The sequence below is a fragment of the Homo sapiens genome, chromosome 2, assembly GCF_000001405.40.
Source record: "Homo sapiens chromosome 2, GRCh38.p14 Primary Assembly".
Taxonomy (NCBI): domain Eukaryota; kingdom Metazoa; phylum Chordata; class Mammalia; order Primates; family Hominidae; genus Homo; species Homo sapiens.
This window is the reverse complement of record NC_000002.12, coordinates 69273257-69300593: the sequence shown is the minus strand read 5'-3', so window position 1 is coordinate 69300593 and position 27337 is coordinate 69273257. Positions and strand designations below refer to the sequence as shown.

The following is a 27337-nucleotide window of genomic DNA, read 5'->3' as shown; positions in this document are numbered from 1 at the left end:
TAATTTAAAAAAACTCCCTATCTTCAGTTTTGAACCCTCATACTTTCAAGGCTTGTCTATTCAAGCACTGGACATTTGGCTTGGATGTCACCTTAAACTCTATACCCAGAACTGAACTCATGAAGTCCCACGCTGGGCTCTATGTGTTACCTCTCTGAGGTCACATTCACAAGCTTTGTCACTGGCCTGCAAAGCTTTATACCTTGCCAAGACGGGAGTGCCCAGAGCTCCACCTCCCTCTGGAATAGGAGGGTCTTGGAAGGTTCTGGTCTCAGCCCCAGGTCCAGGGGGCCCAGGCTTCCTTATCAAGTCCAGATCATCATCCCCCGCCCTTCCAAAAACAAACAAAACACCTCCTTTCTCTTTCCCTCCCAAATTCCTTTTCAGAGCCCTTGGTGTCTTTTCCTGCTTTGATCTTGGGGGAAGACCATCCTGTCCATGTTGCCAGATTTTGGACAAGAGGTTGGGCTCTGCCCTTGGGACAAGGGCAAGCTGCTCTACCCTTTTCCAGAACAATGCCTGTCAAGGAGTCTCAGGGTGGGGAAAGCCTTGTCAAGCACGCAGGGTTCTGTCACACCCTTCCTCAGGACCAGGAGCTTCCCTGGGGGAGGATGTATGAGCCAGCATCCTTCCTGGTCAGCTGTTGTTGACTATGACCCCAGCCTGGGACTGTGAGTGCCTACCCTCTGCACATTTGCAAACAGCTGGTCTGCTGGCTCCTGTGAGGAGAAAGATATACTCCAAAGGGACTTGTAGTGTCTGCCTACATATGAAAAAGTCTGGTGTCCTGTAGAAATTTCTGCTTCACCTGGCACTTCTACAAACAAAATGTAAAGCAATTCTTGGCCAGGCAAGGTGGCTCATGCCTGTAATTCAAGCATTTCAAAAGGCCAAGGCTGGAGCATCACTTGAGGCCAGGAATTCAAGACCATGCTGGGCAATATAGTGAGACCCTCTCTCTACAAAAAATATAAACATGAACCAGGCATGGTAATGTGCGCTTGTGGTCCCAGCTACTCGGGAGGCTGAAGCGAGAGGATCACTTGAGCTCAGGGAGTCAAGGCTGCAGTGAGCCCTGATTGCACTACTGCACTTCAGCCTGGGAGACAGAGCAAGACTCTGTCTCAAATAAAAATAAAAATAAAAAGATAACTCACCAGGAGACATGCTAATTAACAATGAAGACGGGGAAGAGACTGAGATTTGGGGACATTTCTGATCCTATCAGCCATAAGCCATTAGCTCAGGCACACACACGATCTTGTTTATTAGACCCGAAAGCCTGATTGAAAGGTATTTGTTATCTCCTGCTGCATAACAGATTCCCCTGAAACTTAGTGGTTCAAAATAACATTTATTATCTCATAGTTTCTGTGGGTTAGGAATACAGAATGGCTTGACAGGGTTCTCTGGCTCAGGGTCTCACAATCTGCGATTAAAGCCTCAGCTGGGGCTGCAGTCATCTCAAGGCTCTCCAGGGTAGGATCCTCCTCCAAGTGCACTCGCTGAGTGTTGGTGAGAATCAGCTCATCGCTGGCTGTTGGCCAGAGGCCACCTCAGTTCCTTGCCATGGGGGCCTCTCTGTAGGGTAGCTCACAGTAGCAGCCAGAGTGAGCACACTGGAGGGGCCAGAGAGAGTGTGAGCAGGAGGGTGGTCAGTCTTTTATACCCCAAGCATGATTTTGCTGTATTCTCTTAATTAGAAGCAGCTCCGTAGGTCTAGCCCCCATGCAAGGGGAGGAGACTAACCAGGGCACAAATACCAGGAGCTGGGGGTTATTGGGAGTCATTTTAAAAGCATCTCACCATACTTGCTAAATAGCCACTGAGTTCTCTTTTGGCTTTGGATATTTTGTCTTGCAGGGAACTTTGGTCAATCAGAGGTTAGGAGGTGGAGAAATAAGCAGACACAGGTCCATGCAGTTCCCCCTGCCTTTCCCGGTAGCTGTCTTTCCCACTTGTGTTGATTTCAGCATTTTCAGACACAGATGGTGAGGTTGCGCATGTGTGTGAAGGGCCAGGGTTTCTCCTTGGCCTCTGAAGAAGAAAAGCGCAGTGGTTCTTAGGGCTGCCTTCCCTCTCCTTGCTCTGACTCGCCCTGGTGGTTTGGCCTTGCTCTGTGGTTTGTTTACATGGCTGGGCAAGGAAGATGACTTACCCTATCCAGGCTCCTAAGCCACATGGAGCCCTGGCAGGGCTGATTTCAAAGTGAATCATCAGTCAAAATAAGTCCTAACCAATGCCATGAGCAAACGTCCATGTCCGTGGGGACAGTGTCTTTCCTGCAGACGCACATGACAAATCACACTTCTGTGTCTTTGCATGTGCTGTTCCCCATCTGAAAACCCCATCCTACCAGCCCATCCATCCTTGCAGGTGCCCCTTCGTGAACCTTCCTGGCTCTTCCCTTTCTCTTCTGAAGTTCGCGAGCAGGCAATGTCTGTGGCACGCAATCTGGTTCCTGGTTCCATCTTGCCTCATAGGGATCTTCATTGCCCTCGTGTGGGCCTTATGCTCTGCCTGCAGTGAGACAGAAGCCTCACCAGGGAAAGCCTTGTTGTCTAATTCTTTCAGCTCCACTTTGCTGCCCAGTCCTGGGTAGAGCTCACAGATATTTGAGGGCAGAAGCCTGGTCAGGTCTTGTATTTGAAGCCTCCCTCTATCCCTCTCCCAATCCCCTTGCACAGTGTCAGGCCGCAACAGGCTTTCTCTAGGTAAATGTAAATTTGATGTTGGTGTTACAGCATTTGCATTGATGGGACCTGTTATAGAGAAGGCAGATGGAGAGGAGAGGCTGTGGCCTCTTCCTTCAGGCAGCTGTGATGACAGAGCCTGCTTTGACTCACGTCCACCTCTGCTCATTTCACCCTCTTTGCCCATTCACTCACGGGGCACTGTGATGCTGGCATCTACAGGGCATCTCGGTCAGACCTACCCTCTGTGGGGTGCCCAGGAGGTGCTGCCTGTGGGGCCGTGCTCAGTCTGGGGAAAGGGAGTCTAGATCTTTATTTCTAGGCCAGCAACCCCCACCCTCACGCTACATTACTGCCTTTTGGAAAGGGCATTTGTTTTTTTGCTTTGAAGGAAGGAGAAGGAAAATGTGTGTGGGATCAGCAGGGAGGGGTTGGGCATTGCTCAGGAGCCTCCTGACACAGGCACGGCCGGAGCGCTGAACAAGGGAGTTCTGGGTGGGGCATTCAAGGGCTGCTGCAGACAGAGGAGCCGGCATCTGGAGAGGACCACACCATGTGTTCTGTGCTTGGCGCCGCAGTTCCACACTCCCAGGACAAGGCCTAAAATGTCTGGGTGCTCGGTTTGCCATTGGGAACAGGAGGCGATGAGGTCCTTCTGGTGGAACTCGTGTATCTTGTGCGCGCTGGGGATCCTGGGGCTGCCTTGGTTGGGTGGGTGCGAGGGCAGCACCTCTCATGCTCTGCTGCAACCAGCATTTAGCAACAGCGTTTCTGGAGCCCTGGCGGTGCTCTGGCCTTCGGGGTAGTGGACGCTGACACCACAAAATCAGATGTGGCAGGTCCCTGCCCTGGAGCAACCCTTGCAGTCTAAAGGGAGAAAGACAGGGTGACATCGGAGGTTTGTGTCCCCTGCTGTGGGTGCTCAGAGGAGGGGGTACCAGGCCGGAGATGTAATGTGTATGGGGGTGCAGAATGGGTTTGGCCTGGCTGCAGTGTGAGAGTTTCAAGCAGGCATGAAACAGTCAGGGTTGTATTTTAGAAAGATCACTGTGGCTGGTGTGGAAAGAGGGTTGGGGGGGTACCAGGAGAGTGGTGGCTGTGCTGGGTGGAGGCTCTGCGGCCATCCAGGAGAGTAATTCCAGAGGGCAGGCAGCCCGGCAGGAGACACCAGGGGAAAGCAGCTAGAGTTCCTGCTGTTTTGTGTGTAGTGCATGTGCATGTGGTTTTGATTGTGTGCATGCATGTGTATGTGTGTGTTTGTGCTCATGTGTGTGCCTGTGTGCATGCATGTGTGTGTGTCCACACATGAGTGTAGGTGTGTGCATGTGTGTGAGCGTGTGTGTGGGTTGTGGGAGAGTATAAGAATGAACATTTACTGAACTTGGTATTGTAGTCTTCATTTTACATTTACATTACATAAACTGAAGCTCAGATATTTTATTTTTTTGAGATGGAGTCTTACTCTGTTGCTCAGGCTAGAGTGCAGTGGCACAGCCTCTGCTCATTGTAACCTCCACCTCCTGGCTAATTTTTGTATTTTTAGTAGAGACAGGGTTTCACCATGTTGGCCAGGCTGGTCTTGAATGCCTGACCTCAGGTGATCCACTTGCCTTGGCCTCCTAAAGTGCTGGGATTACAGGCGTGAGCCACCGCACCTGACCTCAGATATGTTAAATACCTTCCTTTTTTTATTCAATGAATATTTGAGCATTGTCCATTTGGAGGGCATATTTTACATATTTTGCCACATTTAATCCTTACACTTATAAAGGAGTTACTATCATCTCCCCATTTTGTAGATGAGGAAACTGACACTTGGACAGATACAAATCCTGACACGATTGAACAGGGTGATGTGTTTCTACATGGCAAATGTCATCTGAAACATTTTCAAATGATGGGCTTCTCATTTTGAATATTCAACATAGTCTTTTACTTTTTTACACAAAAAGGGCAATCTAGGTGCCTTTCATGATCCTCCAAGGATAAAGGAAAGAAGGAATGAGGGGATAGGTATAGATTTCATAAAACAATAAGAAGGCACAAAGTCAAGTCTACAAGCACAGCATCCTTAAAGCAGCATCCTGTGACAAAGTCCAAAGCAATAAATTGGGGTTATGGAGGATTCCACAAGGCCCCGATTCATGTAATTCTTTCTTTCTTTCTTTTTTTTGAGATGGAGTTTTGCTCTTGTTGCCCAGGCTGGAGTGCAATGGTGTGATCTCGGCTCACCACAACCTCTGCCTGCTGGTTTCAAGCAATTCTCCTGCCTCAGCCTCCCGAGTAGCTGGGATTAACAGGCATGCACCACCACGCCCGGCTAATTTTGTATTTTTAGTAGAGATGGGGTTTCTTCATGTTGGTCAGGCTAGTCTCAAACCCCTGACCTCAGGTGATCCGCCCGCCTCTGCGTACCAAAGTGTTGGGATTACAGGCGTGAGCCACTGCGCCCAGCACTTCTTTCTGTTTTAATATTAAGCCTCTAACTTTGGCATGTGCTAACACAATGTGAAAAGGAAAGGAGGAGTGGTTGTGAAATGTACTGTAAACTAGCACTTCTGGATTTTAACATGTGCACAAGCCCCCTGGGTGTGGTATTAGAATGCAGATTCTGATCCAGTAGGTCTGGGTAGGGCCTGAGAGTCCCCATTTCTAACAAGCTCCCAGGAGACGTCTCTACTGCAAGGCTGTCAATGACGTGAAGAAGTCACAGGTGCCTGCCGTTAGTGGAGAGTGGGAATGTGGGCGAGAGTCTGATGGGAGGAGATGAGTTTTATTTTGGATGTGTTGCATTTGAGGCACTCCGATTTTTCCAGAAGAGTCAGTATGACAAAAACTAAGCGAGAAGAGTCAGTGGGAAGAGTGGGGCGTGCTGCTTCCTCCTGTTTGCCTCGAGGTCCGCCACCCCCAGCTCTTCTCACTGTGCCAGGAGGAGTACCTTTAGGACTGTCAGCAATGGCTCTCTCACCTTCTGGACTGTGGTTGGGTTCAAGCCAATGGGGAGCCCTGCAGGAGGGTGCTGGAAGGAGATGAGTAGATTGGGGTGTGTGTTTCCCTGACCCTTACTCTCCAATGCAGGCCCCAGCTTGTTGGGGTGGGGGTTCTTCTCAACATAGCTCACTCTCTCTGGTGCTGGTAGCTTTTCTCTGTTACTGGCCCTGGTATACTGCACCATTCCTTGTTAGTGAGGGGACTGTTTTTGGAGGTATGGGCTTGTTTGGGCAAAGCAACCAGCTTGTGTGTGCCATCTGTGTTCTGTTTGGCAATGACCAATAGAGAGGACATGGTCGACAATGCTAGATGTTGTAAGAGAAGGAATTGGAACCAGGACATCCACTTTTGCAATTGAGAGCTCTGTGTCCAAGAGCAATTCTCAAAATATTCCCAATTTGATGGGCATAGTGAATTGAGAGATGAGTGAGGCTTGAGAAAGTGTTAGACGACTCCTCCAAAAAGTTGGACTATGAAGAGAATGAGGGAAGCCAGGAAGTAGCCAGAGTGAACACTGGGATTGAGGAAAGGGATTTAGGATTGGAGACCCTGGAGTACATTTGCAGGCAGAGAGGAAGGCCCTGTCAGAGACAGAGAGATTGAAGATGCAAAAGAGGGAGAGTGGGCGATGGATGAAGAATCCCAGAGGTCCAAGGCCTCAGGATCAACACAAGACATGGAAGACTCAGCTTTGTGAAGGAGGAGGCATGTTTTTATAGCAGATGAGAAGGAAAGGATAGTGAGTGATGAAACAAGGACTTGGCACAGGGAAGGGCACCAGCTGATCTCCTCTTGGGTGATCATCTTTTCACTGACAGAGGAGGCAGATCTCCACCTGAGAGTGAAGGGGCAAAGGGCAGGTGTGGTAAGTTTAGCTGTTATAAGGAGGAAAATCAGGAATATCTGGAGAAGGCCAGGCACGGTGATTCATGCCTGTAATCCAGCACTTTAGGAAGTCGAGGCGGGTGGATTGCTTGAGCCCAGGAGTTCAGCCTGGGCAACATGGTGAAACCCCATTTCTACTAAAAATGCAAAAAATTAGCTGGGCATGGTGCCGTGCGCCTGTAGTTTCAGCTACTTGGGAGGCTGAGGTAGGAGGACCACCTGAGCCTGGGAGGTCAGTGTTGCAAATGAGCTGTGATTGCACCACTGCACTCCAGCCTAGGTGACAGAATGAGAGACCCTATTTCAAAAATAAAAAAGAAGTATCTGGAGAAAAATGGAAAGTGAGGTGACAGCCAGGTGGTCTTTTGCATACGCTATGACCTGAATTTGATGTGCCTCTAAAAGTCACGTGTCGGCAGCCACGCTCCAATGCGATCGTGTAACAGGTGGGCCTTTTGGAAAGTGATTAGGTCATGAGGTCAGAGCCCTCACGAGTGGGGTTAGAGGCCTTATAAAAGAGGCTGAAGGGAGCTGCCTCGCCTGTTCCACCATGTGAGGACGCAGCAACAAGATGCCGTCTTTGACGTGGAGAGCCCTCACCAGAAACTGAGTCTGCTGGTGCCACAGTCTTGGACCTCTCAGCCTCCAGAACTGTGAGCAATACATTTTCTGTTGTTCATAAGTAATTACCCCGCCTATGGTATTTTGTTATAGCAGCCCAAACAGACTAAGACACCATGTTACATGGTTCCTAATTGCTCTCACCATGTGGCTACCCTTCATGCATTTGCTCATTCCCTCTGCCCTCACAACCACTTCTGTGGCAGCCGTCAACACCAAATGCATTGTAATTGTGAGGGCCTTTGCCTTTATGGGGTAATTACTCGTCCTCCAGGATCTCTGTGTTGGCCCTCCTCTGTTCCTACCTGGTATCTGGTGCAGGATGAAGCATGTGAATCCTCATGTGGTTTGCCTGCTGGCTCTGGCTGACCTCAGGATGAGGTGCGGCCTGCCTTCCCAGGTGTATGGGCATCTGGCTGCACCTTGCATTTGGCTCAGTTCACCATGGCACTGGTATGACATGACTGGCTCTGGCATGACATGGAATTCCAGATCCAGTGCCTCGCTCCATCTTATCCTCGGGGCCTCTCTTTTGAGAGGGAGAATCTAAGTGGCTCAGGCCAACCAGTGGATTTGTTTCTCCTGGGCCAGGTTTCCACTCAGGTTTCGGTCAGCTCTGGCCGGAGTGTGGGGTCATGCGTTACAGACATGGGCCCATAGACTCACCCATCAGCAGAAATTGTGGACGGGGTTCCAGCAACTTTATAGAAGCTCTTCGTGAGATTAACACCCTCCTGAGAGTTTAGTACCTTGGGATTTGGACTGATGTGAATGAAACTGTTTGAGGAAAATTCCTTTGGTTGTTTCCCTGGGATGCTGAAAGGTCCCTAAGGGATAGCAAGGAATTCGCTAATGGTTCCCTAAAGACATTTTATCATGAAGTAGAAATCCCTTAGAGGAAAGAAGTGACTTGTGGGAGATGTGAATTCAGAGGCTGAGGTGGCAGAAATCGACCCTGGGCATGTTTATTATCACTGCTTGCTCAGAGCAGTCATACCCATAGTCTGAGAAAGCATGAGACTGCAGGCTTGGCTGGACCTCATAGCCCAGTGAAGAGGCTCCATCCCGTTCTTCCTAAGGAAAGAACTTGGGATTTGGAGTTGAAGGGTCTTGCTCTGCACCATATAATTTTAGGCAAATCTTTATCTCACTGAGATTATAATCTTCAAAAGACAACATCTTTGGACAAATAATACATTGGGTTAAATTCACACCAAGGTGTGGATGACAGACTACCCAAACTTTTCCTTGGCACAAGACCATGGAGGGAAGATGTCAGTAAATCTAAAGCCAGGAATTCTATTAAGGAGATTTCTGCACACTTAGCCTTGGGCTGATTAAGCTTAGGCCTGAGTGCATAGGGGTGGTGTTCACTGGCCTTTAAACATTCACGTCTATGTGGAAGAAAGCCATTACTTAGAGAGTCTGTACGGTGTGGGTCTCCCTCACGGACTTTAAAATCTGGGCTCTGTTTTCCATGACTGTCCTTTCCTGAGATACTTGCTGACTTTCCTCTTGACTTTGCACACCAATCCTGTTTGAAAGAAACAGTTTCAAACACTGCCAGAGTATTCAGCTGTGACTCTTCACCTGCACCCATGTAGATATGTGTTCCCTCCACAAAGGGCCAATCTCCCTGGCTTATTGCTACTTTTATTTAAAAGCAGAAACAAAAAACTGGGAAGCTTCCTACCCAAAACAACAACAACAACAAAACCCCATTGGGTTTGTTTTTCAAGGAAAGCACCCATAGTTCTTTCAAATCTCACATGCCACATGCATTTCTTTTGAAAAGATCCCTGACTTAATGTCTCTCCAAGGGCCTTGCAAAGATGATCTCATCCCCTGAAATTGGCAGGGAAGAAGCATTCTGGTTCTGTTCCAGCACAAGAACAGAAAGGTAGTTGTTAAGCAGAAATTGTCCAGTTAATAATCAAACAAGCTCAGTCTCTTCTTCCCAGAAAGATTTCAGCCAAATTCTGGAGATACTTTCTGCAGGCAGGGTTTACCCTAGACCCCACAGGCATCTGATTCTGGCTTCTATCAGAGGTTTTAAGGCCTGGTTGGTTTTGAGGGCCTCTGAGGAGGAAAATGGGGCTGGAGAGGAGCAGACTAATGTGGAACCCTCCTACTCCAAACACACAGAAATGCAGGATGAAGGGAAACCAAATTAGTCCAATTGCTGGGACTGAAGAGGGAATGGAAAAACATAGCTGGAAGTGGTGAGCAGCTCCACAGCAGACCTGGGGTGTGGATGTGTCTGTGCTGTTATTAGGCTGGGGTAAGGTCCATGCAGAGATGAGAATCAGAGGCTTGGGCTAGTGCCATGCAGGAGCCTAAACAAGAAAGCAAAACCTGGAGCAATTGCAGGACTGAACTCTTAGGGAAAGAGGGACTAGGATAAAAAATCCACCCATTGAATTGGGAAGATGCCAAGAAAGTTTGCTTGTGCTTAGGTTCTGGGTGAAAAAATAAAATCCTTTTGTGAGAAAGTAAAATCCCAAGTATATGCTTTGAGAGGTTGGAAGACTGAATTTATACTGTCTGTGAGTTATGAACATCATAAATTAAGAGATGCACGTGAAGAGTGGGCCTGTGTATGTTACTGCTGAGGATACATGCTGACATAGATGGAAAATCACTCTGGTCATAAAAGATTTCCATCGAAAAATCAAGCTCAGTTGAAGATGAGCGTTCAGTAAAAAATTACAATATATCTGATAGACCCACCATAAACAAGAGTTTTCAGACACTTGTAGGGAGGTCAGCAACCTCAAACCCTAGATCATAGAAAAACAATTTGAAAGAGACCATCAAAGATAGGGATGTTTAAATGATTAAAGAGATACACAGGCTGGGTGTGGTGGCTCACACCTATAATCCCGGCACTTTGGGAGATTGAGGCAGGAGGCAGGAGGATCAATTGAGCCCAGAAGTTTGAGACCAGTCTGGGTGACATATGGAGGCCCTGCCTCTACAAAAAATAAAAAACTAGCTGGTGTTGTGGTATATACCTGTAGTCCCAGCGACTCAGTAGGCTGACATGGGAGGGTCGCTTGAGCCCAGGAGGTCAAGGCTGCAAGGAGCTGTGATTGTGCCACTGCACTCCAGCCTGGACAAGAGAGCAAGACTCTGTTTCAACAAATAAATAAAAAACAAAAAAGCCACAATGAAAGAATAATACATTATGAAAAGGAATGGGAGTAACACTGACAATGAAACATATTTGTGTTTATGTTCAGATTTCAGAAATAAGTAGACTAAAACTGAGGATAACAGGTTGTCACCAAAATAAAACACAAACATACAACAACACCAACAATTCAACAACACCTCCACCAGTCCCTAAAAAAAGCAACTCAAAGTAAAAAATTCCAAAATACAGGTCTTGGAAAGAGAAAACAGAATGCTTACATCTTGTTCTTGCGTATGTCAGCCCACTGAACTTAGTACAGTTTATATACCCTTATAAAATATGCCAGCTGGCATTAGGATTATCATGAAGGAAAAACAATGCAGACACCAAATTGGGTTACCTAGGATACAAAAATAACATTTTTATTATAACAATATGATAATGGAAGGAATTGAGAATACTGTACCAGTACGGTCCTTGGATGAGCAGCCCCATAAAACCATACAGTGGGAGATAGTGAGTGGAGAATTTGGGTGGAGTCATGGGATGGAAAAAGAACATTACAAAGAAATCATGTAGGGTGTACATTCAAGCATACATGTTCGAGAACTTTGGTACTAAACATGCCTGATGATCAGCCACCATCAACATAACAACTTAGAGTTAGCTTGCCTCCTCCACTCCAGTGTTGCTATAGAGACTGTAGAGTCCACTTTCTTGTTAGTCCCTATGAGCTGAGTTGGGATTGTCATGGTTGTAGAAAAAAGAAAAAGCTGAAAAGAAAAAAAATTATCATTATTTGAGATTATTTGATGGCCAAAATAGAACATTTATGAGAACCTACAGGTAAAATATTAGAAATAACAAGAATGTTTAGTAAGGTTACTGGAAATGAGCAATATACAAAATAATCAGTAAAGGCTAGGAGTGGCTCACGTCTGTAATCCCATCACTTTGGGAGGCTGAGGAAAGTGGATTGCTTGAACCCAGGAGTTCAAGACCAGCCTGGACAACATGGTGAAACCCCGTTTCTACAAAAAAAAAAACCCACAAAACAAAATTAGCCAGACATGGTAGCATGTGCCTGTGGTCCCAGCTACTCAGGGGGCTGGGGTGGGAGGATGGCTTGAGCCCAGGAGATCAAGGCTGCAGTGAGCTGTGATTGCACTGCTGCACTCCAGCCTGGGTGACAGAGCGAGACATTGTCTCAAAGCAACAATGACAATAAAACCAAAAAAATCAGTAGCAAAATTTAGAAAATTTACTTAAAATACATTTAAAACAACAATAGCAACAACAAAAACTGAATATGCACATCTATTATATATCAATAAAAAATAAAAACACTATGAACTTCTAGAAAGAAATATGAGGATAAGACCTTTAAAGAAAAGGTGAAAACAATTTTTTGAAAGACATGAAACAAGACCAGGTAGTTGGGAGACAAAATATATTCATGGATAAAAAGTCTTTGTACATAAAATGTCAATTTTTGTCCAAATCAAATTAAAGTTAATTCAATTCTAACAAAAATGTCCAAGAGAGTTTTTCACAGAACTTGACAAAATAGGTCCAAAAATTCATATAAAAGAGGAAACAGTTATAAATTTCAAAAATCTTAATCATAATAATGCTGATAATGAGAAATACGCCCTCAGATTTCAAAAAATTTTGCAAGCTATAGAAAGTTAAACAGTGTAATATTGGCATAGAAATAGTAAAAGCTACCAATGGGACAGCCTGGAGAGTGTAGAAAAAGACTTATGTATATTAAGAATTTGGTTTATGACACAAGTAGCATTCAAAGCAGTATGAAGAAAGAATAATAAATTGGTCTTGAACAATAAACTATGAAAAAAGAAAAAATAGGATTCCCACCTCACTATACGTAACACATGTGTGCACATGCATATATACACAATTCCAGCTGGATTAAAATCTATAGAATGTAAAATTTTGAAATGTTAAGAAAATATAGACTAATTGTTACAACTTCAGGATATGGAAAAATGTTTTAAACTGGACAGCATAGGCAAAAAAGAAATTTGATAAATTTGACTTCATGAAAATGGGAAGATACTTACTCTGTAACCCAACCTGGAGTGCAGTGGTGCAATCTCCGCTCACTGCAACCTCAGCCTCCCGGGTTAAATGATTCTCTTGCCTCCATCTTAAAAAAAAAAAAAAAAAATCAGAATGTACCGCAAGTAGTTAAGAGTGTTATTTCATGAAAATTTTGTTTCAGATTACATATGCGCTCACATACACAGGTATATATGTCTACGTATATGCATGCACGTGTGTGTGTGTGTGCGTGCATGTTTACAGGGTCAAAGTATAAAATGCTTTTCATGGATTGAGTGTGGTAAAAAGTGTGAAATCTATTGTTTTACTACATTGTCTTACAATATTCTGTGTTTATAGGTCCAAAAGTATGCATGGGAGAGATAAATAGTGTTAGGACAGTGGTTCCCTTCGGCGTGGGAGGGAACGGGAAGACTTGGGGTCAGGGTGTGAGGATTTGCTCCATCTATGTTGATATATTACAAAATATATCCAAAACAAATGCAAATGATGTTAACATCTGTTGTCTAGGATGTCCTCGGGTGTTCATTACATCTGTGCCTTTTCATATGCTTGAAATATATCATAATTAAAGATAAAAAATTAAACAAAATTTCACCAACAGCATGGCATTTGCCTGTAATCCTGGCTACTCGGGAGGCTGATGAGAGAGGATCACTTGAGTCCAGGAGTTTGAGACCAGCCTGGGCAACATAGCGAGACACTGTCTCTAAAACAAAACAAAACAAAACAAAACAAAAAATGTAACCAACCATAAAAAGTATGGAGATGTGGGTAGGGAGGGAACAGGGACTCAGATGTCTTCAAGAAGCTTGCAGCTTAGGAGCCAGTTGTGTTGACTTCTCTGTGGCCAGATGTCCCAGGAGCCTCTGCTCCTGTGGGCTGGTGGCTGGTGAGTGACTGCCACATATTGTTGTGGCCTTGTTGCTTCACTCCTGACTGGCATTGCCACTGATTTGATTCTTACCCAGTTAGATCACAAGCCATCTGAGGGCAGCAATGAGTCTGAACATTTTCATCACCCTCCAGCTCCTGGCACCTGGCAGGACCAATAGACTTGACACAGGAAAAAGTTGCTGCTTGCTGTTTATTGAACATTCTTTCCCCAGGAACCCTCTGTGCCTCTGGCCCTACAATTCTCATTAGAAAAGATTTTATGTTTTTTTAATTATGAAAAATGTCAGACTTACTAAAAGTTTGGAGAATAATTTATTTTTTTTTTAATTTTAATTTTTTTTTTTGAGATGGAGTCTCGCTCTGTCGCCCAGGCTGGAGTGTGGTGGTGCGATCTTGGCTCACTGCAAGCTCCGCCTCCCGGGTTCACGCCATTCTCCTGCCTCAGCCTCCCGAGTAGCTGGGACCACAGATGCCTGCCACCACGCCCGGCTAATTTTTTTGTATTTTTTTTAGTAGAGATGGGGCTTCACTGTGTTAGCCAGGATGGTCTCGATCTCCTGACCTCGTGATCCACAATAAATGCCATTTGCTTTTTTAAACTATTATATTTATGAGATGTATCCATGCAGATACCACTATCTCTAGTTCATTTTTGTGAATATGCCACCAATTGTTTATCCATCTAGGTGTTTTTATTGCTCACTATTACAAATAATGCTGCAGGGAACATTCTGATTCATGTCTCCTGGAAGGTTAGGGTATGTACACCTAGGAGCAGATTGCTCAGTTGAAGGTGATATGGTTTGGCTCTGTGTCCTCACCCAAGTCTCATCTCTAATTGTAATCCCCATGTGTGGAAGGAGTGAAGTGATTGGATTATGGGGGTGGTTTCCTCCATGCTGTTCTCGTGATAGTGAGTGAATTTTCATGAGATCTGATGGTTTTATAAATGGTAGCTTTTCCTGCGCTCTCACACTATCTCTCTACCCTGCTGCCATGTAAGACACACCTGCTTCCCCTTTCGCCATGATTGTAAGTTTCCTGAGGCCTCCCCAGCCAAGTGGAACTGTGAGTCAATTAAAAACCTCTTTCCTTTATAAATTATGCAGTCTTGAGTAGTATCTTTATAGCAGTTTGAAAACGGACTAATACAGAAGCGTAGGCCATATTTCTTGAGAAACAGGATGTGAAATGCAAACCTTCCTGTGATCTTATGGTGGAGGCCTGAACATCTGGGCCCAGTTTTTCCTGGTGAGCAGTTTTTCTTATTTTTACTGACTTGTAGGAGCTTTAAAGACGTTTTTCTGGATACCACTTCCTTGTCGGTTATACTCACTGTGAATGCCAACTTCCAGGCTGCATTTGCCTAGGATGCCTTAGTTACATCTTCTGCTTAAAAATACTTAAAAAATTCGATTTGAGTCAAATTTGTTTATCTTTTTCTTATTGCTTGTGTCTTTGGGTCTTGTGTGTGAACTTTTGTTAGAATTTCATCAAGCCCTGTTTAATGGAGAGATTTTTCTCTGACTCAATTCGGTAGTTTATTTTTAGTGGCATAATGGGTTTTAGTTTATATCATTTGTTAGGGTCCTCTAGCCAGGCCTAGCTCTATTATAATCCATGTAAACTAGTACTTAGGCCTGCAGAGATCCAAGCAGCTTCAAGGCCTGCCAGATCCATTTCATCTCATGGGTGGGGCCCTCTTCACCTGTCTCTCATCATAATCCTCCAAAAGAACCACCACAATCTAGCTCCTGAGCTTGGCTGGAATTTTTCCAACAAGGGCAGATTGAAATTCTTTTCTTGAATAGAGTTAGAAGGAGATTAATAAATAGAAAATAGGGGTCGTTTAGTTTGGATTTGGAACAAGACAGTTTTTTGGAGCAAGAACTTGCTTTGAAATCCCAGTCACATCATTAATTCTGAGTCTTTTTAAAAATCTATAATATAGGAATAATAGGACCTCAACTGAAGAATTTGTGATGAATATTAAATGTATAATTCTGGATACAGAACCACCACAACAAACAATAGTAGCTAAATTTGTTGAGTGCTTAATATGTGCTAGTCACAGAGCTAAATATTTGCATGAATTATCTCACTTGGTCTTTATGACAATCCTATTAAGTACCACTACCATGTAATATAAGGGTTAAGGTAAAGGTTTTGATCATGTTTAATTCTCAGCTCACCTACTTACTGTGTGACCTTAAGTTCTTGCATTTTGTTTTTCTTATCTGTAAAATGGAAATGTAATAACACACATATACATACAGTTGTCCGTTAGTATTTATGGGGAAATTGGTTCCATGGATATCAAAGTCTATCAGTGCTTAAGTCTCTTATATAAAATGGCTTAGGCCAGGCACAGTAGCTCAAGCCTGTAATCCCAACACTTTGGGAGGCTGAGGCAGTTGGATCGATTGAGCCCCGGAATTCAAGACCAGTCTGGGTAACAGGGCAAAACCTCATCTCTACTAAATGTACAAACATTAGCCAGGTGTGGTGGTGAGCACCTGTAATCCCAGGTACTTGGGAGCCTGAGGCAGGGAAGGTTGCCTGAGCCTAGCAGGTGGAGGTTGCAGTGAGTTGAGATTGTGCCACTACACTCCAGCCTGGGCAACAGAGGAGGTTCTGTCTCAAATTTAAAACAAAAGCTTAGTATTTGCTTAGAACCTATGCACATCCTCACTTATACTTTAAATCATTTCCAGATTACTTATAGTACCTAATACAATGTACATGCTACATAAGTGCTTGCTATACCGTATAGTTTTTCAAATTTGTATTTTTTATTGTTTTGTTTTTCTGAATATTTTTGATTTATAGTTAATTAAATCTGCAAATGTGGAACTGTGGAAAAGGAGGGCTGACTCTATAGTCACAGGTTGCTTAATAAAGGGGATATGTTTTGAGAAACGTGTCATTAGGCGGTTTTGCCATTGCATGGACATCAAGGAGTGTACTTACACAAACCTAGGTGGTATAGCCTACTACACGCCTAGGCTATTCGGTATAGTCTATTATGCCTAGGCTACAAACCTATACAACATGTTCCTGTGCTGAATCCTGTAGGCAGTTATAGCACAGTGGTAAGTATTTATGTATCCAAACATATCTAAACATAGAAAAGGTACAGTAAAAATATGGTACTGTTTATCTATGGGACCATCGTTGAATATGTGATTTGCATTGATGGAAATGCTGTTATACCATGCATGACTGTACGTATTTGCTAGGGCTGCCATAACAAAGTACCACAAACCAAGTGGCTTTACCAACAGGAATTTATTGTCTCAGCTCTGCAGGCTAGAAGTCCAAGATCAAGGTGTCAGCAGGGTTGTGCTCCCTCTGAAGGCACCAGGGAAAGACCTGTTCCTGGCCTTTCTCCTAGCTTCTGGGAGTTCTTGGCTTGTGGCAAAATAGTTTCAATCTTTACATGGCATTCTCCCTATGTGTGTGTCTCTGTGTCCAAATTTCTTCTTTTTTTTATTTATTAATTTTCTCTGAGAAAGAGTCTTGCTCTGTTGCCCAGGCCGGAGTGCAGTGGCATGATCTCAGCTCACTGCAACCTCTGCCTCCCAGGTTCAAGAAATGCTCCTGCCTCAGCCTTCTGAGTAGCTGAGATCACAGGTGCACACCACTATGCCCAGCTAATTTTTGTGTTTTTAGTAGAGACAGGGTTTCACCATGTGGTCCAGGCTGGTCTCAAACTCCTGACCTCATGATCCGCCTGTCTCAGACTCCCAAAGTGCTGGGATTACAGGCGTGAGCCACTTCGCCCAGCCTAAATTTCCTCTTTTTGTAAGAATACCTGTCATGTTGGATTAGGGGCTCATCCTACTCTAGTAAAATGTCATCTTAAATTACCTAATTACTTCCACAACAATCCTATATCCAAATAAGTCCACATTCTATGATACTGGGGGTTAGGATTTCAACATGTAAATGTTTGGGAAATACCATTCAACCCATAACAATATACATGATGAGTTTGTCATGAGGTTGAAAAGAGTTGATCGATGTAGACGATTTACAACATTGGTTCATAGAAAATGATCAGGAAAGTGTTAGCTGTCATTACTACTACCATGAATCAGATGGAGAAACTGAAGCTCAGAGAGGTGGCATGACTTTCCTAAGGTCACACAGCCACTAAATGGCAGATTCAGGACTTTCAGCCAGATATGGCTGATTTCAAAACTTCTGCACCATGTATCTTCATTGCCTAAGAGGATAGAAGAGAGGGAGGCATTTATAATTCAAGGTGACATTCAGAAGAGGCTCACCTGGGTGTAATTATCTACAAAGAAGGTTCTGAAAATCATCCTCAGTACTTCACTTGCATATTTATATTCCATATAAATTTTCTTATTTCCAAGTAAAATGGCTGTCAATGAATGAAATGAAATAAAGAAAAAATGAGCTGTCAGTCATTGCATCATTTTCTTTTTTCTCTTGGTTATTTACTGCATTGGATTACTTACGTTCCATTTCCTTCTAGTTATTTCCTCCACTTAGTGTTGCCCAAAGCAGGGTCCCACCTTTCCTTATCAGGGCTGCCCTCCATGTAAGATCTCTTATTGGGTTTTCCTTTCCTCCCAGTCAAAATCTACCTCTCCTATGTCCCATTCTCATAACAGAGCTTTTACTCAGTTGTCCTGGTTAAAAAAATAATGCAGGTCAGGTGCAGTGGCTCATGCCTATAATCCTAGCACTTTGGGAGGCAGAGGTGGGAGGATTGATTGAGCTCAGGAGTTCGAGACTGGAGTTTGAGACCAGCCTGGGCAATGTAGTGAGACCATGTCTCTACAAAAAACTTAAAAATTAGTTAGGCATGACTTAAATGTTAGACCTAAAACCGTAAAAACCCTAGAAGAAAACCTAGGCAATACCATTCAGGACAGAGGCATGGGCAAAGACTTCATGACTAAAACACCAAAAGCAATGGCAACAAAAGCCAAAATAGACAGATGGGATCTAATTAAACTAAAGAGCTTCTGCACAGCAAAAGAAACTACCATCAGAGTGAACAGGCAACCTACAGAATGAAAGAAAATGTTCGCAATCTACCCATCTCACAAAGGGCTAATATCTAGAATCTACAAAGAATTTAAACAAATTTACAAGAAAAAATCAAACAACTCCATCAAAAAGTAGGCAAAGGATATGAACAGACGCTTCTCAAAAGAAGACTTTTATGCAGCCAACAGACACATGAAGAAATGCTCATCATCACTGGCCATCAGAGAAATGCAAATCAAAACCACAATGAGGTACCATCTCACATGAGTTAGAATGGTGACCATTAAAAAGGAAACAACAGGTGCTGGAAAGGATATGGAGAAATAGGAACACTTTTACACTGTTGATGGGAGTGTAAACTAGTTCAACCATTGTGGAAGACAGTGTGGCAGTTCCTCAAGGATCTAGAACTAGGAATACCATTTGACCCAGCCATCCCATTACTGGGTATATACCCAAAGGATTATAAATCATGCTACTATAAAGACACATGCACACGTATGTTTATTGTGGCACTATTCACAATAGCAAAGACTTGGAACCAACCCAAATGTCCATCAATAATAGACTGGATTAAGAAAATGTGGCACATATATACCGTGGAATACTATGCAACCATAAAAAAGGATGAGTTCATGTCCTTTGCAGGGACATGGATGAAGCTGGAAACCATCATTCTGAGCAAACTATTGCAAGGACAGAAAACCGAACACCGCATGTTCTCACTCATAGTTGGGAACTGAACAATGAGAACACATGGACACAGGAAGGGGATCATCACACACCAGGGCCTGTCAGGAGGTGGGGGGCTGGGGGAGGGATAGCATTAGGAGATATACCTAATGTAAATGATGAGTTAATGGGTGCAGCACGCCAACATGGCACATGTATACATATGTAACAAACTTGCACATTGTGCACATGTACCGTAGAACTGAAAGTACTATAAAAAATTAAAAGAATGAAAGATGGTTAGCCAAAAAGAAAAATTAATTAGGCATGGTGGTGCATGCCTGTATTCAGCTACTCAGGAGGCTGAGGTGGGAGGATTGAGCCCAGGAGGTGGAGGCTGCAGTGAGCCATGATTGTGCCACTGCACTCCAGCCTGGGTGACAGAGTGAGTCTCTGTCTCAAAAAAACAAAAATAAAACAACAAAGAAACAAAAACAGACAAGCTTTGCTGGGGTGTATTTGTTATACCCCTGGTGGGTTCCTAAAGACTGTGCCTCTGACAGCCTGGGAACAGGTGGTGGTGGGGCTTACACCAGGGACAAGTGTGAGATGGTCATGACTGGGCAGGCCCTGTCAGGGTCCGAAGGTTGAGAACAGTCTTACCATTTCCAGCCCCAAGTCCAAGTCTTCAAATTCCTTATTCAGGTTCCAGGGTGGCTGGTCCCATCTCTCCATCAGGACTCCCCAGTGAGGGTCCTCACCTATGAGATTCATGTCTTCGGTCCCATTTGGGAAGCTCTCCCTCAACGTGGAAACCTTTTGTGGATCCACAAAGAGCGGTCCTGCTGTAAATCTGGGTGGGCATCAGGCACTGAGGAATTATGATCGCCTTTTCCGATGTGGTTCATTGTGCAGCTAATTCTCACTGGTTATGCTGAGCGAGGATTCTTTGAGATTTTGTAAGGAAATTTCCTCATATTTTCCATTCCTTTCTTCCTAGAGACATTTTGCTGGCAGAGCAACAGCAACTTCTCTCAGCAGCCAGATGAGAAACAGAGCTTGGAGGCAGAGGCGAGAACAGTGCTGATGTGGCCGGTGCTGTTCCTTGGAATTAAAAAAAGGCAGTCCCACTTGGGGCCATTTTTCTGAAAAGTGAAGGGAAATGTAAAACATAAAACGGACCTAATCTCAAGAAAAGTGGACCCTGCTATGTGGGGAGAGATGGTTCTGGGTGAGATGATGCCGCAGTTCTCTATTAATACTTAGGTCATTGACACTCACCTTTTCATGTCGCAAGCCTGGCCTTGGTCTCTGGTCATGGACATGCCACACTCGTGGGTCGTGAGGGTTGGCCCTCTGCCTTATCTTCCCCAAAGACAGACTCACTGGCTCCTGAGCCCCAGGGATCTCCAAAAAGGGGCCTTTGTTGTGGGGACAGCCCCATCATCCCAGCTGGTGGCTACCTTCCAGCAGGTGTTATGTGGCTATGTCCCAGTTCCCAAGTTGCTGACCTTGTGTGATCTCTTCCCCACCCCTGCTGTGATGCTGGAATGACAACAGTTCCTCAAATCTGCAGAGCACTTTCAACTTCCAAAGGTCTTTGGCGAACACTGCCACTAATGTAATCCCTGACTTCCCATTAAGTTTGTGTTTAAGGAATTGTTATAACTTTTAAAGAAAATTATAAAATCAAAACAGCACACATAAATGGTTTTTAAAGAAGCAGAAAATATTACAGAAAGGCCAACAATGAAAACTTCCATTTCTCATGTCATCGCCAACCACCCCATGTTCTCCTTCCTAGAGGAAACCACTCTTAATGGTTTCTTTCTTTTAATTTAGTTTTTATTTTATTTTATTTTACCATGCCTTACAAGGCTTGTTATTAAAACAGCAGTATCAGGTTTCTTATCGGGATGATGAAATGATCTAAAACTAGACTATGGTGATGGTTGCACAGCTCTGTGAATATACTAAAACCCACTGAGTTGTACCCTTTAGATGGGTGAACTTTACAGTATGTAAATTATATCTTAATACAGAGCTGGACATTTTTCAGCAATGTGAAACATGTGATGTGATTTCAGTCCTATTAGGCAAATAAAGCAATTTGCGAGGGCTTTGAGAAGACACATAATCCCTAAATGGATAGACATGTGGCGTTAATTATTGATCACAATAGTTACTAACCATATAGTCACTGCTCTTAGAATAACACAGATTACTGTCTGGTCTACAAAGTCACATATGCAGAAAAATTCTTGTTTCTTTAGATATTGTCTGTGTTGACATACACTCAAAAATGTTGATGTTCTTTCTTCTACTTTGCTGACATCATATTTTCATTAAATACATGCTGCAGTATACTAAAAAAAATTATATCTCAAGCTGTTAGAAAAGGAGGCGGAGGCTGGGCACGGTGGCTCATGCCTGTAATCCCAGGACTTTGGGGAGGCCAAGGCGGGCGGATCACCTGAGGTCAGGGGTTTGAGACCAGCCTGGCCAACATGGTGAAATCCTGTCTCTACTAAAGATACAAAAATGAGCCAGGTGTGGTGGCGCGTGCCTGTAGTCCCAGCTACTTGGGAGGCTGAGGCAGGAGAATAGCTTGAACCTGGGAGACGGAGGTTATAGTGAGCCGAGATCGCACCACTGCACTCCAGCCTGGGAGAAAGCAAGACTCTGTCTTTTAAAAAAAAAAAAAAAAAAAAGACAGTCTCCTGACTCCCCCCTTCCAACTGCCACCACTGTCTCACTTCCTGAAGGCCATTACTTTCAAACAGCGTGATATTTTCTTCCATATTGCTAAATTATTTGTTTGCAATGTTATTTCTTCATTACTTAGTTTTAGGCATTTACTATTGACTTCCCATTAAAAAAAGATGAGGCTTTAACTTTCTTCCCTCTAACTGCCTTGGCCCCCACCATACCAAATATGCACTTCCCACCCCTCATCCTTCTCACAGAGAGTTACAGATATCCTGGTTAACACAGTGTTTCTGTTTATATTAACATGACGACAAAAGCACCACTGGCAGCTGTCCAGTTGTGTGGCGTGGAGGAGGGCATTCGAGGGTTTCACTGATTCTTAATTTGTCAACCTCCTATCTTCCCCTCTCTCTCACTTCTATTTCCCAAGGTCCCTGGATTCCAAATCTTTTGTTTCATCCAACGTGTAAATGATGCTTCATTGAGGCTTTCTCTACTGTGAGCGTGGAATTCAGTTTTTTTGGGGGGGGTCTCTGATTATTTATCACTCGTCCATCTGCCATTCAATTTCTGAAATTTTGTTGCTTTTTCTCATCTCACATTCTTGTCTTTTCTTGAGACAGATTTGTTGACATATAATTTATAGACCATACAATTTATTCATTTAAGGTGTACAACTCAGTAGCTTTTAGTATATTCAGAGAGTTGTGCATCCATCACCACAATCAATTTTGGAATATTTTCATCTTTTTATTTTTCTTTCTCCCACCCTTGATATCCTATCATCTCTTTTTCTGAGTTTATGCCTTTAAACATTCCTTTCAATTTTTTGAATTCCTTAGAATTTCCTTTGAATTCACTTGAGCCCAGGAGTTCGAGACCAGCCTGGGCAACATAGTGAGACTCAATCACTACAAAAATAAACTTGCTGGGTGTGGTGGTGTGCACCTGTAGTTCTAGCTACTCAGGAGGCTGAGGTGGGAGGATCCCTTGAGCCTCGGAGGCGGAGGTTGGAAGTTTAACCTCTTGCATTGGATCTATTGCTTTCTGGGTCCCGTGTCTTATCCTTTCTTTTTTAATTGTCTTATTTTGCTGGACTATATCATCAAGTATATTCATTAAAAGGTAGTAAATTTTTCATTCCTTCCAGGTCTGAAAATGTCTTTGTCCTAATTTTATACTTGGCAAGGTATAGAATTTTAGCTGAAACTGTGTTTTTTCTCAGGAGTTTGAAGCCTTTGTTCCACTGCTTTTTAGAATCTAAGATTTCTGTTGAGAGGTCTCATACCGATCTAGTTATTGTTCTCCTGTAGACAACTTTTTAAAACCTTTTGGGAAGCTTTTAGCATTTTCTCTTTATCCTTGGGGGGTCTTGAAATTTCATAATATGTCTGTCTATCTGTCTAGCTATCAATCTTCCTCTATCTATTCTCTTGTGCAGTGTACTTGGTTGATCCTTCAGTCTAAAGACTTGTGTCTTTCAACTTGGGGATTTTGGGGTACTATTTTAAAAACAATTCTCCTCCTTCTGTTTCCTGTATTCTCTCTTTTTCCTTTGGGACTTTTACCAGTCAGATGATGAACATTTCTGGGTTGGTTCTTTTTGTCTCATATATATATGTGTGTGTGTGTGTATATATATATATATATATACTTTTTTTTTTTTTTGAGATGGAGTCTTGCTCTGTCGCCAGGCTGGAGTGCAGTGGCATGATCTTGGCTCACTGCAACCTCCGCCTCCCAGGTTCAAGCGCTTTTCCTGCCTCAGCCTCCTGAGGAGCTGGGATTACAGGTGTCTGCCACCATGCCCAGCTAATTTATTTTTGTGTTTTTAGTAGAGATGGGGTTTCACCATATTGGCCAGACTGGTCTTGAACTCCTGACCTTGTGATCTGCCCGCCTTGGCCTCCCAAAGTGCTGGGGTTACAGGCATGAGCCACCGTGCCCAGCCCTGTCTTATATATTTTTTAAAAAAATTAAGATTTCCTTTTGTTCTCCCTGATGAAAATTTCCCAAACATTATTTTCCAATCATTCTGATGATTTTTTCTCTTTTCTTAGATTGCTCCTTAGATGAATAGTCTTTTGTTATTATCTTGTGTGACATTGTCTCAAATCTCTCTGAGTACATTAGTTAGAGATCTCCTTCTCTTCTGCCTTTTGAATTACCCATTTCTGATTGTTTGCATCGGTCTTTTTATTTTACGGTATAGGCTTCCCTCAAGTGTATAATGAGGTTTTAGTTGTTTGGTTATATTTGAGAATGAGGCAATAAGAAAAGGTGATTGTGAATCTGTGTGTGGAAGCGGAGCTTGTCAACAGGTAGGCTTTCCTTTAAGGATAGTGGGCAGGAAGTTGAACCTTAGCAAGAAAACTCCAAATGCCCTACGCCAGCTGCTGTAGCTTTTCCCAGTTTTACCCCTCCAAAAGAGAAGAACCTTGTGCTTTGTTTGTTCGGAGTAGGGAGGTGGTTATTACAGCACACCAGCCTGCTGGGAATTCTGTACATGGTGGAGGTAGGAGATGAGTTGAGGACGACTGCTCTACATATAGACTTTCATTGATCTCTTTGATTTCAGCCCTTCATCCCACTCCCACCCTAGCACCTGGCATTTCTGAGTTGGGAGTCTCTCTGGGGCTGTTCAGGACAGAGGTCTTCCTCTGTAGCTGCCCCCTACCCCCACTCATCAGTCTTATAGGCTGTAGCATCCTCTATCTTGTTTCATCTTTTGTCAGCTCCTTAAGTATTGTTTTTTATTTTTCAGAAATTTATTGAAATCTATTGTCCCTTGGTGACTACTCACACTTTCTTCATGGTGATGGACTTTTAGATATTTTTATTGTCATTTTAATGTGGTCTTGCAAGGCAGTGTGCTATCTTGAATTAGAAACTCTCTGTTAGTTTCAACAGGTATAGTGGAAAGATCTTGGTTGGGTTCCTTGACAGCTCTGCATTCTAGTTATATAGTTCAATGCATTTTTATGTCCTGTCATTCTTTCTAGCTGTGGCACTGCTATTATGTGGAAGCCTGGAAAAGTATTGAGAAAAGTTAGCTAATCAATTCATATTTTTGAGGCCCAGGTTCCCTACTTTTAAGTTATTCATGCTGTTAGCTACCATGATTCTAGTAGGTATATGGTTTTGTGCAAAATGCTGGAAAAACAAAGATGAATAAGTCATGGTTCCTTCCTGTCAGGAAGGTGGGGGTTGGGTAGAGACTAAAGAATAAGATTTTACTGTGAGTGGTATGATACAGATATACCAGAATAGGAGAAATCAGGGAAGGTATCACAGAGAAAGTGATATTTAAGCTTTAAATTAGAGTTATCCAGGCTTACAAGGGGGAAGGCAGGCATTCCGGGCAAATGGGCCAGCAAGTACCTAAGTGTGCAGTCATGACAGAACTTGGTGATTTTAGGGACAGAGCATAGGGTACTTGTGGAGGAACGGTGAGAAGTGAGACTGGAGAGTTAATAATGGCAGCCAACACATCATACATGTGCAATCACTACTTATATTTACAGATGGGGAAACTAAGGCACAGACTTACATGACCTTAAGATCCCTTAGTTAATAAGTCAGAGAGCTGGGATTTGATCCCTGGCAGTCTGGCTTAGAGTTCATTTTTTTTGTCAGGGGTTAGGTGATATGGTCTTATTTTTATTTTTTTTAATTGACACATAATAAGTGCACGTATTTGGGGGCACATGCGATATTTTGATTCATTCATATAATATTTAATTTTCAAATCAGGGTAATTGGGATATTCATTATCTTAACCATTTGTTTTATTTATGCAAGGAACATTTAAATTATTCTCTTCTAGCTGTTTTGAAAATAGTGTTCACACCAGGTCTTATTTCTTCTATCTAACTATATTTTTGTACACATCAATCAACCTCTCTTCATACCTCTCCACTTCTCTACATTTCTAGGATTCTGGTAACCATCATTCTACTCTCCATCTTCATGAGATTCACTTTTGTAGCTTCCAAATATGAGTGAAAACATGTGATGTTTGTCTTTCTGTACCTGGCTTATGTCATTTAACATAACAACCTCCAGTTCCATCCATGTTGCTGCAAACGTAGCATCTCATGTCCTGCTCATTTTTATGGATGAATAATACACATTTTCTTCATCCATTCATTTGCTGATGAGCACTTAGGTTGATTCAGTATTTTGGCTATTGTGAGTAGTGCTGCAATAAACATGGGAGTCCAGGTATCTCTTCAATATATTGATTTCCTTTCTTTTGCATATATACCCAGTAGTGAGATTGCTGGATCACATGGTAGTTCTATTTTTAGCTTTTTGAGGAACCGCCATACTGTTTTCCATAGAGATTGTACTAATTTACATTCCCACCAAGAGTGTATGAGGGTTCCCCTTTCTCCATATTCTTGCCAGCTTCTGTTATTCCTTGTCTTTTTTATGAAATCGATTTTAATTGGGGTGACATGCTACCTCATCGTGGTTTTGATTTGCATTTCTTTGGCGATGAGGGAAAGATAATAAGCATTTTAGTAAGGAGTTTGGGTTTTTTCCTGCACACAGACTTTAAGGTAGGTGAATAAAATGATCAATGCTGCGTTTTAGAGCCATAACTCTGGAGCCACCATTTGAGAGAGTGTTAGACCAGAGTCAGGGAGTGCAGAGAGCAAGTTAGGGAATGATTATTCTATGTACCAACAACAGATGATGGTTCTTGAATTTAGAAGTGGAAAGGGCTGCAATGGAAGAGTCCATCGAGTTATGTCAGAGGTGAAATCAACAGGACATGGTCACCGACTAGATGTAGGAGTTAGGAGAAAATTAGGGTCAGGATTAGGTGGCTGAGCCACTGGTAGTTTGCTAAATTTGAGAATGCAAGATGAACAGGCCTGGAGAAGAAAAAGAGAATGACTCAGTGTTGAGCACGGTGTAATTGAGGTGACTGCACAATATCCAGGTAGTCATGTCCAGAACTGGTTGGGAGGATGTGTCTGGGATGCTGGGAGGACATCTGTGTTGGAGGTACAGATTCAGAAGTCACTGGCTCATAAGGAAAATTGAAATCATAGGCATGGATATGACGAGAATATGTGTTATGGAGAGAGTCAAGCCCAGAGTCCTGGAAAGCATCAGAATGTATGAGCGCTGTGCCTGAGAACTTGGTTGATAGTATCCTTGAGGAGGGGTGGAGGGGTGTGGGTGGGGGAGGAGGTGGGAGGATTCCAGTAGTGCCTCTGGGGCTGTGGAACGTGAGGCTGAGGATTGGGAGGGAGGTCCCTGAAGGGCAGAAGGAGGAGGCCAGTGGTGAGGCGGTGATAGAGACAGGAATCTTCCCAGATATGAGGACTTTAGTGATGACAGAAGAAAGGGGTGGCAGGGAGGGTAGCATTCAAAAGTGCTGGAGTGAAGAGAAGATGCTTGATTGAGTTGAGTGATCAAAGGTGCTCTAGAAGGTGGATGAGGAAAAGGCAGGAAACATTCCCAACTGGCCTCTCTTCTCTCAGCAATTTCTGGTCCGCTTGGGCAGACTGCCTGTCCCTGCAGGTGGCGGTCAGCCCGTATAGATCTGCAGAGCGGAATCTGGCTTCCTGAAGTGCTGATGTGCTAGAACCACTGCAAACGTTTACAT

General features: G+C 43.5%; 1 long non-coding RNA gene across 1 annotated transcript, besides 1 other annotated feature; it reads right to left on the bottom strand.

The window, feature by feature from the left end:
- Window positions 1–10717: 10717 nt before the first annotated feature.
- LOC124907821 (uncharacterized) lies at window positions 10718–13773 on the bottom strand. The gene is made up of 2 exons (XR_007086810.1): window positions 12411–13773; window positions 10718–11099 (listed from the first exon to the last, which is right to left on the bottom strand). It is a non-coding gene; the product is annotated as an uncharacterized LOC124907821 (long non-coding RNA).
- Window positions 20299–20800: an enhancer, noted in NCBI's record as "NANOG hESC enhancer chr2:69506926-69507427 (GRCh37/hg19 assembly coordinates)". NCBI's record gives its function as "activates a minimal SCP1, AML or CMV promoter by ChIP-STARR-seq in primed H9 embryonic stem cells {active_cell/tissue: H9 hESC(primed)}" and the evidence as "EXISTENCE:reporter gene assay evidence [ECO:0000049][PMID:30033119]".